This window comes from Homo sapiens, chromosome 7 (assembly GCF_000001405.40).
Source record: "Homo sapiens chromosome 7, GRCh38.p14 Primary Assembly".
Taxonomy (NCBI): domain Eukaryota; kingdom Metazoa; phylum Chordata; class Mammalia; order Primates; family Hominidae; genus Homo; species Homo sapiens.
Genome location: NC_000007.14, coordinates 76,455,824 through 76,468,235, shown reverse-complemented (window position 1 = coordinate 76,468,235; position 12,412 = coordinate 76,455,824). Strand labels below are relative to the sequence as shown.

The 12,412-nt window shown below is 49.5% G+C and overlaps 1 protein-coding gene across 19 annotated transcripts in view, besides 1 other annotated feature; it reads right to left on the bottom strand.

Moving 5' to 3' along the window:
* DTX2 (deltex E3 ubiquitin ligase 2) overlaps positions 1–6,527 on the bottom strand; it is a 44,283-nt gene extending 37,756 nt beyond the window's left edge. For 8 of the 19 annotated variants that reach the window (XM_047419853.1, XM_047419860.1, XM_047419858.1 and 5 more), the window contains exons 1-2: positions 6,400–6,527; positions 4,527–4,691 (exon numbers count right to left, since the gene is read on the bottom strand). The gene's annotated coding sequence lies outside the window, so the exon portion shown is untranslated. Of the gene's footprint in view, positions 1–4,526; positions 4,792–5,624; positions 6,297–6,399 lie in introns of those variants that run through there. The other 11 variants (XM_047419857.1, XM_047419861.1, XM_011515774.2 and 8 more) reach the window with 4 other exon arrangements.
* Positions 11,155–12,028: an enhancer, noted in NCBI's record as "H3K27ac-H3K4me1 hESC enhancer chr7:76085525-76086398 (GRCh37/hg19 assembly coordinates)". NCBI's record gives its function as "activates a minimal SCP1, AML or CMV promoter by ChIP-STARR-seq in naive H9 embryonic stem cells {active_cell/tissue: H9 hESC(naive)}" and the evidence as "EXISTENCE:reporter gene assay evidence [ECO:0000049][PMID:30033119]".

Here is a 12,412-nt window from a genome sequence, read left to right as displayed (position 1 = left end):
CACCTAAGGGTGAAATACAGCATCCAACAGCACAGCAGGCAGCATGCCAACAGCACCCGCCCCTGGGAAGCCCCAGGTGCTCCCCAGAGCCACACCGGGCGTTGATAACATTCTCTGCATCCGGGAATCAGGCCCTGGCCTCCCTCTCCCCTCCTCCCCTCCTCTCTCCATTCCCCCCGGATCCTCAGGATCTGTTCCCATGGCTTCAATATTCCCTTGCATACAGATCACCCAAAGCTGTCCTCGGGATGCCCTGCCCGAGCCCCTCAAACCGTCAGCTCCTGCCATCTGGACCTCCTGGCAGTGCCCAGGGCAGGTCAGGATGTTTCATGCCCTTCGTCCCCCACTGAGAATGCCCATCGCACTTGTCCACTTACTCATCTCTTAATTCCTAGCTCAAGACTCTGCCCTGTGAGATCTTTCCTAAGTTCGCTCCCGCTCCACAGGCAGAAGTGGCCACTTCTAACAATCAATGCCCACATGACGTCTCAGTGCCATTATCTGTCTCCTCCACTGGAGAATGCATACGCTCCTTAAAGGCAAGGGTTATGTTCAGGAAAAGACTTCAAACCAGACCCAGAAAACTGAGTACTAGGGAAAAAATACATTTCGCTATGTTAAAATGAAGAATGGCTGATCAACAGAAGACACCTTAAAGAAAGAGGAATAATAGGTTAAAAGCTGGGAGAAGATATTTGCAATAGACACGAAGGATTAAAATCAGCAATATATAAAGAGCCCTATAGATCAACAAAAAATAAAGCACCAAGAACCCTAATGAAAAACTGGCAAAAGACATGAATATTTCACAGGAAACACATATGCCAATAAACATAAGAGGAGATATTCAGCAGCAGGGCTCAGGGACCTAGAAACCAAGTTCCCAAAGATTCCATTTTCTACCCATTCACTTGGCCAACAGCAAATGTTGGTAAGACTGTGGAGCTGCAAGACACAGGACACTGCTGGTAAAGTGGATACTGGTATAAGCACTACATTCAGGAAATGGTCTAGCAATAGCTACGAAAGATGAACACTGCCGAGCATGGTGGCTCATGTCTATCATCCCAGCACTTTGGGAGGCCAAGGCGGGTGAATTGCTTGAGCCCAGGAGTTCAAGACCAGCCTGGGCAACACAGTGAAGCTGCCTCTGCACAAACTTTAAAAATTAGCTAAGCATGGTAGCCTGTGCCTGTAGTCCCAGCTATTCAGGAGGCTGAAGGGGATGGATCCATTGAACCCAGGAATTTGGGGCGGCAGTGATCCGTGATTATGCCACTGCACTCCAGCTGCCTGGGTTACAAGGTGAGACACTGTCTCTAAAAAAAGAAAGAAATAGGCCAGGCGCGGTGCCTCACACCTGTAATCCCAGCACTTTGGGAGGCCGAGGCAGGTGGATCACCTGAGGTCAGGAGTTTGAGACCAGTCTGACTAACATGGAGAAACTCCGTCTCTACTAAAAATACAAAATTAGCCGGGCATGGTGGCGCATGCCTGTAATCCTAGCTACTCCGGAGTCTGAGGCAGGAGAATCGGGAGTAGCTTGAACCCGGGAGGTGGAGGTTGCAGTGAGCCGAGATCGTGCCATTGCACTCCAGCCTAGGCAATAAGAGTGAAACTCTGCCTCAAAGAAAAAAAAAAAAGAGACAGAGAAACAAAGAAATACACATGTAAGATAAAACTAAGAAAAAAATGAAAGAAAGGAGATAATGATTACCTCAGGGTAAGAACAGAAAACAAGTTCAAATGAAATGATTAGATGTTCTAAGGGGACCTGATAAAGTAGAAAACTTTTTAAAGTTTTTTAAAATTAAAAAAAAAAGATTAGATATATACTTTTGTTTCATGATCCCAGCTTTTGTTTTGGGTGCCTAGATTGCCAGAGCTTACTACATTTATTAAAAATAACTTACTAAATAAGGAAAAGTAGGTCAGGCATGAACACTGAGGAGTGTGTACTAATCAATCTTGTTCTCAGCTTAGCTGATAAGGCAAACACCAAAGAGACTGCTGAATTCATCTTTGTACTCCAAGTGCCAAACACAAGCCTCGGCGCACAGAATTTCGGGAGGCATTTGGGGAATGAATCAGGGCTCTTCTCTCTAGCCCATGGCCTCATTTCCTGTTGGCCTCTTAATACCTTCAACACGTCTGAGGCCAAACGCATCTTCCTTCCTCATTCTCCTTTTCCCCCTGGATTTCCCCCAGGCGGCCAAGAGAAAAACCTCAGATTCTCAGTCCTCCGCAGCCCGCTCCCCCAGGCCTAGCAGCTGCCTGCCCTGCTCTCTCCTCACCTCTGAAGCCCCCTGCTAACACCTGGCCGGGACCCTTATGCCTCTCACTTTACCCCCTCCCTGCCGGGCGCAGTGGCTCACGCCTGTAATCCCAGCACTTTGGGAGGCCTCGGTGGGTGCATCACCTGAGGTCAGGAGTTCGACACCAGCCTGGCCAACAGAGGGAAACCCCGTCTCTACTAAAAATACAAAAATTAGCCAGGCATGGTGGCAGGTGCTTGTAGTCCTAGCTACTTGGGAAGCTGAGGCAGGAGAATCACTTGAACCCGGGAGGTGGAGGTTGCAGTGAGCCAGGATGGCGCCACTGCACTCCAGCCTGGGTAACAGAGCGAGACTCCATCTCAAAAAAACAAAACAAAACAAAAAAACAAATAAGTGCTCCCTCCCAAACAGCTTCTCCAACTCTGCTTTCTAACCCTCTTGTACATCTCAGATGGGGGGGCAGAAAAGATTAAGCTTCCTGAACTAACGTTCTGATCTTGTCTTTTACACACCTCCCCTGGATCTCTAGAATGAAATTCAAATTCCTTAGGCTGACAGTCAAAGCCGATCACAATACCGCCCTTCCCTCGCTATCAACAATATTTGCCGGTGCCCTTCCCTTCCATCCCCTCATCTATACCTCCCTCTCCACAATTCCCTTCCAGAGTGTAAATGAGGATCCACTACTCCCATGTGCATCAGCGTGTCTGTCCCCACCCCCATGACTCTGCTTCACCCTGAATCCCACCCACTTGGTCCCCTGTCCTCACCTTACCCACCCTTTTATGGCCCAATTTAAACAGCACTTCCCACGATGCCTGGATGTGCCCAGCAGAAAGCAAACACCCTCTAAATCAGCCAGGCATGATGGTGTGCACCTGTAAGTCCAGCTACTCGGGAAGCTGAGGCACAAGAACCTCTTGAGCCTGGGAGGTGAAGTTGAGCAGTGAGCTGAGATTGCACCACCGCTCTCCAGCCTGGGTGACAGAGTAAGACCCTGTCTCAAAAAGTAAACAAACAAAACAAAACAACAACAACAAAAAGAATGAAAGAAAACACCCTCTTAGCAAGTTCCTTTTCAGTTCTCTATGTTCACTTTATCTCTTCAACTAGACTATAAGCAACTGAGGGCAAAACCACTCACCTGCCTCTCCCCACGAAGAAGCTGGCATGATGTATGTAAGAAGACCGCCACAAAGCGAATAATCCAGTCTAAACCCATTCCACATGTTCCAGTGTGCTCCATTAAAATGTCCCTCACGAGGCCAGGCACGGTGGCTCAGGCCTGTAATCCTAGCACTTTGGGAGGCTGAGATGGGAGGATCCCTTGAGGCCAGGAGTTAGAGACCAGCCTGGACAACGTAGAGCGGCACTGTCTCTAGATAAAATTATTAGTCGGGTATGGTGGTAGGCACCTCAGCTACCCCAGAGCCCAGGAATTTGAGGCTGTGGTGAACTATGATCACTCCACTGCACTCCAGCCTGGGCAGCAGAAGCAGACCCCAACTCAAAAAAATAATTAATAAAATGACCCTCATAGAAATCTCCTAAAATCCTTCCACTCCCGAGTCTTGGCATGGCCCACATAACCCTCCTCGCTCAGAGCCCTCTGCCTGCTTTTCCAGCCTCCTCTATTACATACTAAGCTACTTACAGTAGCCCAGCTGTGTCCCGGTAGCTTCATGACTTTGCAAACGCTGACTCCTCTCCCAGGTGACTGTGCCCCACTTTCTAAGTCCTACTCCTCCTTCACAACCCCCCTCAACTACCACCTTCCAGGAGCCTTCCTGACCTTCCCTCTAACCGTCCCCTTTCTGGATGTGGGTAGGAGAGCCTTGTGATTTCTCCCAGCTCAGTATATATCACACTGACAACACCTTGTCACTGACTCTGCTTTGTCTTTTCCACCAAACAATGCACTCCCAAAAGACAGAGATCTTATCTGGCACCCAGTAAGGGTTTATGCAACAAAAGAAATGAAAACTGCCACTTCAAATGCAGAAATCGTGACTTGTGTCTTCTATCCCATAAAGCATGTCTTAAAGTGGAAAGCATCTTCTAAGACTAGTTAGTTAAACAGGAGAAGCAGTGGCAAGACGCCACTGCAATTTATTTGAGACAGGTGGCAATCAACAGTCAACTCCCAGGGCACACGTTTATCCTGCAGACCTCAAATTCCACCCTCCCCAATCCCCACCTTCTCTGCACCAGATAGAGAAGGCAGCAAGGTCAAGTCCCCATGGCTCTCACCTTTTCTCTCTGGAGAGCTGGCACAAACTGTCCCTTCTGGATGAAGACACCAGCTCCTTAGGAGGAATGACTTGTTTGAGTTCCCATCTTGATACAAACCACAAACAACAAAAACCGGGCAAATCTGAAAGGCTTGCTGACTCAGCGACACAAATTCCAAGGCACCTTTGCCAACGAGGAAGAAGATGATCAGGTTTTAAATTAAGAAACAGCAGTTAGTAAAAACAAAGGTACAGATGTTGGATCCGTGTGCTGTGCCTGGGGACTGAAAATCACCAGATTTATTTTCCAATAGCCTGGGTGGAGCAGGAGGTACAACAGTCTTCCTCCACCCACTTAACAATCAAGGAGATGGTTGAAGAAACAACAAAAAGCAAACAAACAAAAAAACCCTGAGCTCTTTTTAAAATTTTTTATTATTATTAGTTTTTGGAGACGGAGTCTTGCTCTGTCACCCAAGCTGGAGTGCAGTGGCGTGATCTCGGCTCACTGCAGCCTCCGCCTCCCAGGTTCAAGCTACTCTCCTGCCTCAGCTTCCCGAGTAGCTGGGATTATAGGCTCGAGTCACCACGCCTGGCTCTGAGCCCTTTTCTTAAAAAAAAAAAAAAGTTCGTTTTTTTAGTTTGTTTGTTTTTTGTTTTTTGAGACGGGGTCTCCCTCTGTCGCCCATGCTGCAGTGCAGTGGTGTGATCACAGCTCACTGCAGCCTCCAACTCCTGGGCTCAAGCGATCCTCCTGCCTCAGCCTCCCAAGTAGCTGGGACTACAGGCACCCACCAACACGCCCATCTGATTTTTTATAGAGACAGTGATCTCAGGAATCCTCTTCGTTTCCCAGGCTTGTCTCAAATTCCTGGACTCAAATGATCCTTCCACCTCGGCCTCCCAAAGGGCTGGGATTACAGGCATGAGCCACCGTGCCTGGCCTGAGCCCTTTTACAGAAAACTCTAAAAGGACTTCATAAGCCAGTCTGGCAGCTAAGCATCCAGGAAATCAACACACCAGAGAGGGTAAATATTTAAGGTCACAGAGCAACCGAATCAGAGGGCTTGCTATCCGGATGGCTTAAGCCCGGATGGTGGCTACCAGAAAGTCTACCTTCTAGAGCGCTAGAGGAGCTAGGAAGGCATGCAGAAATATTCTGAGTTTCTCAAGGGTCCAGGCGTCTGTACACATGCTATTTATTTCCATCGCTGTTGGCGCTTAGAGAAGTGGAGCCAGCTTGGAGGAGGAGGGCAGCTGGCTGAGACAGTCGCGATGAAAGCGCAGCTCCAGAAAAGGGAACCGAGTTCTAAATCTTTTTCGGCACCCCTTACGCACCCCAAAAAGTGACCCAGGGCCCCAGGAACTCCTGGGAAGACCCCCCACAGGAAAGCAGGGAAGCAGAGTTAGGAAGCAAACTCCTCCAAAGTACAACCCCCGGCCCAGTGAGTCCCTTCACCTGGGGGTAGACCCCAGCAGGACCAACCCCTCGTCAGGGAGCCGGTGGCAATCTCGTCACCCCCTCCTCTGGGTACTTTGGGAAGGGGTGCGCGCCTTCCGAGCGACCCGGAACCGCGCCCCTCCGCCTGCGAGCCCCTCAGCCTTCATCCGAACGTCCCCTTTCGCACCCGGCACCCTGTCCCGTCCAAAGCTGCCGGCGCCTCCCAAGTCCCCCAACTCTCGCCCTCAGGACCTTGATCCCGGAGACCGATCCCCCCGACACCCCCGATCTCCCGGGACCCCCGGGTGTCCCCGCCGCCCCGGCCGTCGGTCCCCCTCACACCCACGCCCGCCCCCTTCCGGTCCCAGCTAGGCTCCGGCTCCCCGCGCCACCCCGCGCCCCTGGGACCGCAGCCCTAGCGACGCGCAGGTGGCCTTCCCGCCCTCTCACCGAGGCTGAGGAGGACAAGAGGACGGGGCTGAGGGCACCACCGCGCTCGGGCTGCAGCTCCGGCTCGGCCTGGGCAGGGCTCTGGCTGTGGCTCCGACTCTCAGGAGAAGGCAGCCAGAGTGAAACTCGGCGTCGCAGCTTCCGAGCGAGCCGCTGCGCATGCCCGGGGCGTGCGGCCTTCTGGGAAATGTAGTCCCGGTAGGGCCCAGGGGCGGGCAGAAGGCGGGGCTCAGCGGGGAAGGGCTCAACCCAAGGCGCACCTGCTCCGGTCTATGTTTTCTTCCTTCGCCTGCTCACTCATTGACTTATTCCTTCATTAATTACTGACTTAATTTTAACTAGTTTTTACTAGTACATACATGGTGCCAGTACATACATGTGCTACTGTTTCTCTTTTTTTGTTTTTAAAATTAATTTTATTTTTCTTTTTTGTACAGATGGGGGTTTTGCAATGCTGCAACGTTGCTCAGGCCGATCTCAAACTCCTGGCCTCAAGCGATCCTCTTGCTTCATTCAGCCTCCCAAAGCACTGGGGTTGCAAGTGTGAGCCATCGAGCACAACCTTTTTAAATTTAAATTTTTGTCTTTTTCTTTTCTTTTTTTCTCTCTTTCTTTCCTATTTATTTTTAATATTTATTTATTTATTTAGCTACTGTGTAGTGGGAGTGCGGGAGTGAATAGGTGAATCAGAAATGGTTTCTTGGCTGGGCGCAGTGGCTCATGCCTGTAATCCCTGCACTTTGAGAGGCAGAGGTGGGCGGATCACCTGAGGTCGGGAGTTCCAGACCAGCCTGGCCATCATGGCGAAACCCCGTCTCTACTAAAAATACCAAAAAAAACTAGCCGGGCGTGGTGGCTCGTGCCTGTAATCCCAGCTACTCGGGAGGCTGAGGCAAGAGAATCGCTTGAACCCGGGAGGCAGAGGCTGTAGTGAGCCAAGATCGCGCCATTGCACTCCAGCCTGGGCGACGGAACAGGAATCCCTCTCAAAAGAAAAAAAAAAAAAGACGAAGAAGAAGAAAAAAGAAAAAGAAAAGGTTTCTCGCCGGGAGCGGTGGCTCACGCCTGTAATCCCAGCACTTTGGGAGGCCGAGGCAGCCAGATCACAAGGTCAAGAGATTGAGACCATCCTGGCCAACATGGTGAAACCCCGTCTCTACTAAAAATACAAAAATTAACTGGGTGTGGAGGCCGGGCGCAGTGGCTCACGCCTGTAATCCCAGCACTCTGGGAGGCCGAGGCGGGCGGATCACGAGGGCAGGAGATCGAGACCACGGTGAAACCCCGTCTCTACTAAAAATACAAAAAAAAAAAAAAATTAAGCGGGCGTAGTGGTGGGCTCCTGTAGTCCCAGCTACTCGGGAGGCTGAGGCAGGAGAATGGCGTGAACCCGGGAGGCGGAGCTTGCAGTGAGCCGAGATTGTGCCACTGCACTCCAGCCTGGGTGACAGAGCGAGACTCCGTCTCAAAAAAAAAAAAAAATAATAATAATAATAATAATTAACTGGGTGTGGTGGCGCGTGCCTGTAATCCCAGCTACTTGGAAGACTGAGGCAAGAGAATCACTTGAACCCTGGAGGTGGAGGTTGCACTGAGCCAAGATTGTGCCACTGCACTCCAGCCTGGACGACACAGTGGGAATCTGTCTCAAAAAAAAAAAAAAAAAAAAGAAAGAAAAGAAAAGAAAAGAAAGAAAGAAGAAAAGAAAAGGATTTCTTTCCTGGGAAAGCTTTGTATCTAGTTGGAAAGTCCGGCACTTAAACACACAATTACGATATAGTGGGGAAAATGTTTGGATAAAGGAGGGCATAGAAGGGTATGCCTAACTTGAGGGTGGGGAGAAGACATCACAAGACAGATAAAGGCTATGTGGGTTTTTCAGTCCATAGAGAAATTTGCCAGTTGGAGCATAGGGAAGCTCTTGTAAAGCAAGAGAGATGTGAAAGTGCCTCATGCACTCCGGAGGCAGCACAAAGTTCCTGGTGGCCAGGGCAGAGGACACATGGAGGGAAGGGAGTGAGGAAGGAGAAAATGCACTAGGCTATAGCAGGATCTGAGGAGTGTGGGGAGAAGCCGGGGTAAGATTATGATGAATTTTAGATAATGTGAGTGTTTGCACATGTGTGCACATACTATGTATGTTGAATATTATGTATACAGTTTCAGGGGGATCAAGGTCCTCTGAATCTTGGAGGACCAAGTACCCAGTTAAAGATACTTACCTGGAATGACATTATCCTAAGGTCATTGATCCTTTATCAGGGATTTTTATTTTCCTTTTTTTTTTTTTTGAGACGAGTTTTGCTCTTGTTGTCCAGGCTGGAGTGAAATGGCACAATCTCGGCTCACTGCAACCTCCGCCTCCCAGGTTCAAGTGATTCTCCTGCCTCACCTCCCGAGTAGCTGGGATTACAGGCATGCACCACCACACTCAGCTAATTTTTGTATATATATATATTTTTGAGACGGAGTCTTGCTCTGTCGCCCAGGCTGGAGTGCAATGGCACAATCTCAGCTCACTGCAAACTCCGCCTCCCAGGTTCAAGCAATTCTTCCTCAGCCTGCCGAGTAACTGTGATTACAGGCGGATGCCACCATGCCCAGCTAATTTTTGTATTTTAGTAGAGACAGGGTTTCACCATGTTGGCCAGGCTGGTCTTGAACTCCTGACCTCGTGATCTGCCCACCTCGGTCTCCCAAAGTACTGGGATTACAGATGTGAGCCACCGCATCCGGGCTAATTTTTGTATTTTTAGTAGAGACAGAGTTTCACCATGTCAGCCAGGCTGATCTCAAACTCCTGACCTCAGGTAATCTGCCCACTGCAGCCTTCCAAAGTGCTGGGATTACAGGTGAGGGCCACCGCATCCGGCCAGAGTTCCATTTTTAAAATCTGAAAAGACGGACTATTTTTATTTGGGAAAAATAAAGAGTTCTGGTTGTGAAAAGAAGTAAAATAGGACAGTATCAAGAGGGAGAGTGGGGGGCATGGACTTTTGTATTTTAGACAGGAGAGAGAAGAGTGTGCTGACTTCTGAAATTGCAGCAGGATGTCTGCCCCCTGGGAACCTGGAAATGAGGGAAACAGGCTTGGCCACTTGCAAAGTGAACTTTAAACTAATATACGTAGCAAAGGGCCAGAGACAAAAGAACTGCCTGGTAGGAGGGGGCTGGTTAAATAACCCCGGAACACTAGGTAGCCCTAGAAGGAATGAGGAAGACTCACAGTGGCCTAGATCTATTGTTAAACCAAAAAGGAACTTTGAGCCAGGCAAGGCGGCTCATGCCTATAATCCCAGCACTTTGGGAGGCGGAGGCAGGTGGATCACCTGAGATCAGGAGTTCAAGACCAGTCTGGCCAACATGGTGAAACCTCGTCTCTACTAAAAATACAAAAATTAGCTGGGTGCAGCGGTGCACACCTGTAATCCACCTACTCGGGAGGCTGAGGCAGGAGAATCGCTTGAATCTGGGAGGCAGAGGGTGTAGTGAGCCAAAATTGCACCATTGCACTAGCCTGGGTGACAGACTGAGACTCGGTCTGAAAAAAAGAAAAAAAAGGAACGTTCAAAATAGAGGGTAGAGAATATGAGAATATGCACCCATTTGTGTTTTTTAAACAATTGCATACAATAAACGGGCTTACAGACGAAGAAAGTTTCTGGGAAGAGACCCAAGAAGCCCCAGAAGGTAGGCGGATAAGCTGAAGAATTGTTAAAGATTTTATTTATTTATTTTTTGAGACAGTGTCTCCCAGGCTGGAGTACAGTGGCGTGATCATAGCTCACTGCAGCCTCGACCTCCTGGGTTCAAGTGATCTTCCTGCCTCAGCCTCCTGAGTAGCTGGGACTACAAGCGTGCACCACCATGCCAGGCTGATTTTTGTATTTTCTGTCAAGATAGGGTCTCACCATATTGCCCAAGTTGGTCTCAAACTCCTGGGCTCACACATTCCTCTTGCCTCAGCCTCCTAAAGTGCTGAGATTACAGCCATGAGCCACCACGCCTGACTGAATTTTTAAAGATTTAGAGAGGGCTGTCAGCTGGGCACAGTGGCTCATGCCTCTAATCCCAGCACTTTGGGAGGCCAAGGTGGGAGGATCACATAAGGTCAGGAGTTTGGCCAACATGGGGAAACCCCGTCTCCACTAAAAATACAAAAATTAGCCAGGCGTGGTGGCATGCGCCTGTAATCCCAGCTACTGGGGAGGCTGAGGGAGGAGAATCTCTTGAACCCAGGGGGCAGAGGTTGCAGTGAGCCGAGATCGTGCCATTGCACTCCAGCCTGGGCAACAGAGTGAGACTCTGTCTTTAAAATAAAATAAAATAAAATAAAATAGGGCTCTCTCTTCTCTGGCAGTACCCCCACTCCCCACAACATACACAGTAGGGCAGTTTGCCACTTGCGTTCTTGCATAAAGGTCCACAGCCTAAGGGGCAGTGGCAGGAGCAGCGGCAGGAAATATTCCTGGCAGGGGTTCTTTGTCTGAAATTTTCCGCCTAGAGATGGTGTCTTTTTTTTTTTTTTTTTTTTTGAACTCCTCAAAGGCTGGGGTTTGTTCAACACACCCAAGGGGCCACCAGTGCTCTGAAGCAACTGAAAATGAATGACGTGGCCCAAGAAAGAATGTGACTGTTGGCCACAAAATGGGGAGTGGTGTTGAGCAAAGAAATTTAAACTCTAATACCCATAATCCCAGCACCTGGCTAGGTCCAAGTGGGAGGATCGCTTGAGCTCAGAAGTTTAAGACCAGCTTGGGTGACAAGACAAGACCCCATCTCTACAAAAAATAAAAAAATTAGCTGGGTGTGGTGGGACACCCCTGTGGTCCCAGCTACTTGGGAGACTGAGGCAGGAGGATCACTTGAGCCCAGGGGGTCCAGGCTGCAGTGAGCTATGACGACACCACTGCATTCCAGCCTGGGTGACAGGGTGACATCTTGTCTCTTAAAAAAAAAAAGGGCCGGGTGCGGTGTCTCATGCCTGTAATCCTAGCACTTTGGGAGGCCGAGGCGGGCGGATCACAAGGTCAGGAGATCAAGACCATCCTGGCTAACATGGAGAAACCCCGTCTCTACTAAAAATACAAAAATAAAATAAAATAAAATTAGCCGGGCATGGTGGCGGGCGCCTGTAGTCCCAGCTACTTGGGAGGCTGAGGCAGGAGAATGGCGCGAACCCGGGAGGCAGAGCTTGTAGTGAGCCGAGATTGCACCACTGCACTCCAGCCTGGTGAGACTCTGTCTCAAATAAAAAAAAAAAAAAAAAAGGACAACACGTGGGGGTGGGGTATGGGGTAGAGGGTATTTGCAAACTTTTCAGATGAATGAACGGCGAGCACACGTACCTTATTTTAGATTTGCCACAAGGGAACCAGTGAAAAGGGTGAGCCTTTTCTTTTGTTTTTGAGATGGGGTTTCGCTCTTCTTGCCCAAGCTAGAGTGCAATGGTATGATCCCGGCTCACTGCAACTTCCACCTCCCATATTCAAGTGATTCTCCTGCCTCAGCCTCCCAAGTAGCTGAGACTACAGGCGTGTCCCACCATGCCTGGCTAATTTTTGTATTTTTAGTAGAGATGGGTTTCGCCATGTTGGCCAGGCTGGTCTTGAACTTCTGACCTCAGGTGATCCGCCTGCCTCAGCCTCCCAAAGTGCAGGGATTACAGGCGTGAGTCACCTGCCCAGATGGGTGAGCCCTTTCAAAACATGTTCCAAGGGGCTGGGACTTACATAAGATAATTATTTGGGGAAGACTGGTTTACTCCTCAGGGCTGTAAAGCCATCTTTTTTTTTTTTTTTTTTTTGAGACAGAGTCTCTCTGTGTCGCCAAGGCTGGAGTGCAGTGGCATGATCTTGGCTCACTGCAACCTCTGCCTCCTAGATTTAAGTGATTCTCCTGCCTCAGCCTACTGAGTAGCTGGGATTACAGGCGCCCGCCACCACGTCCGGCTAATTTTTTTTTTTTGTATTTTTAATAGAGATGGGTTTTCACCATGTTGGCTGCAAAGCTA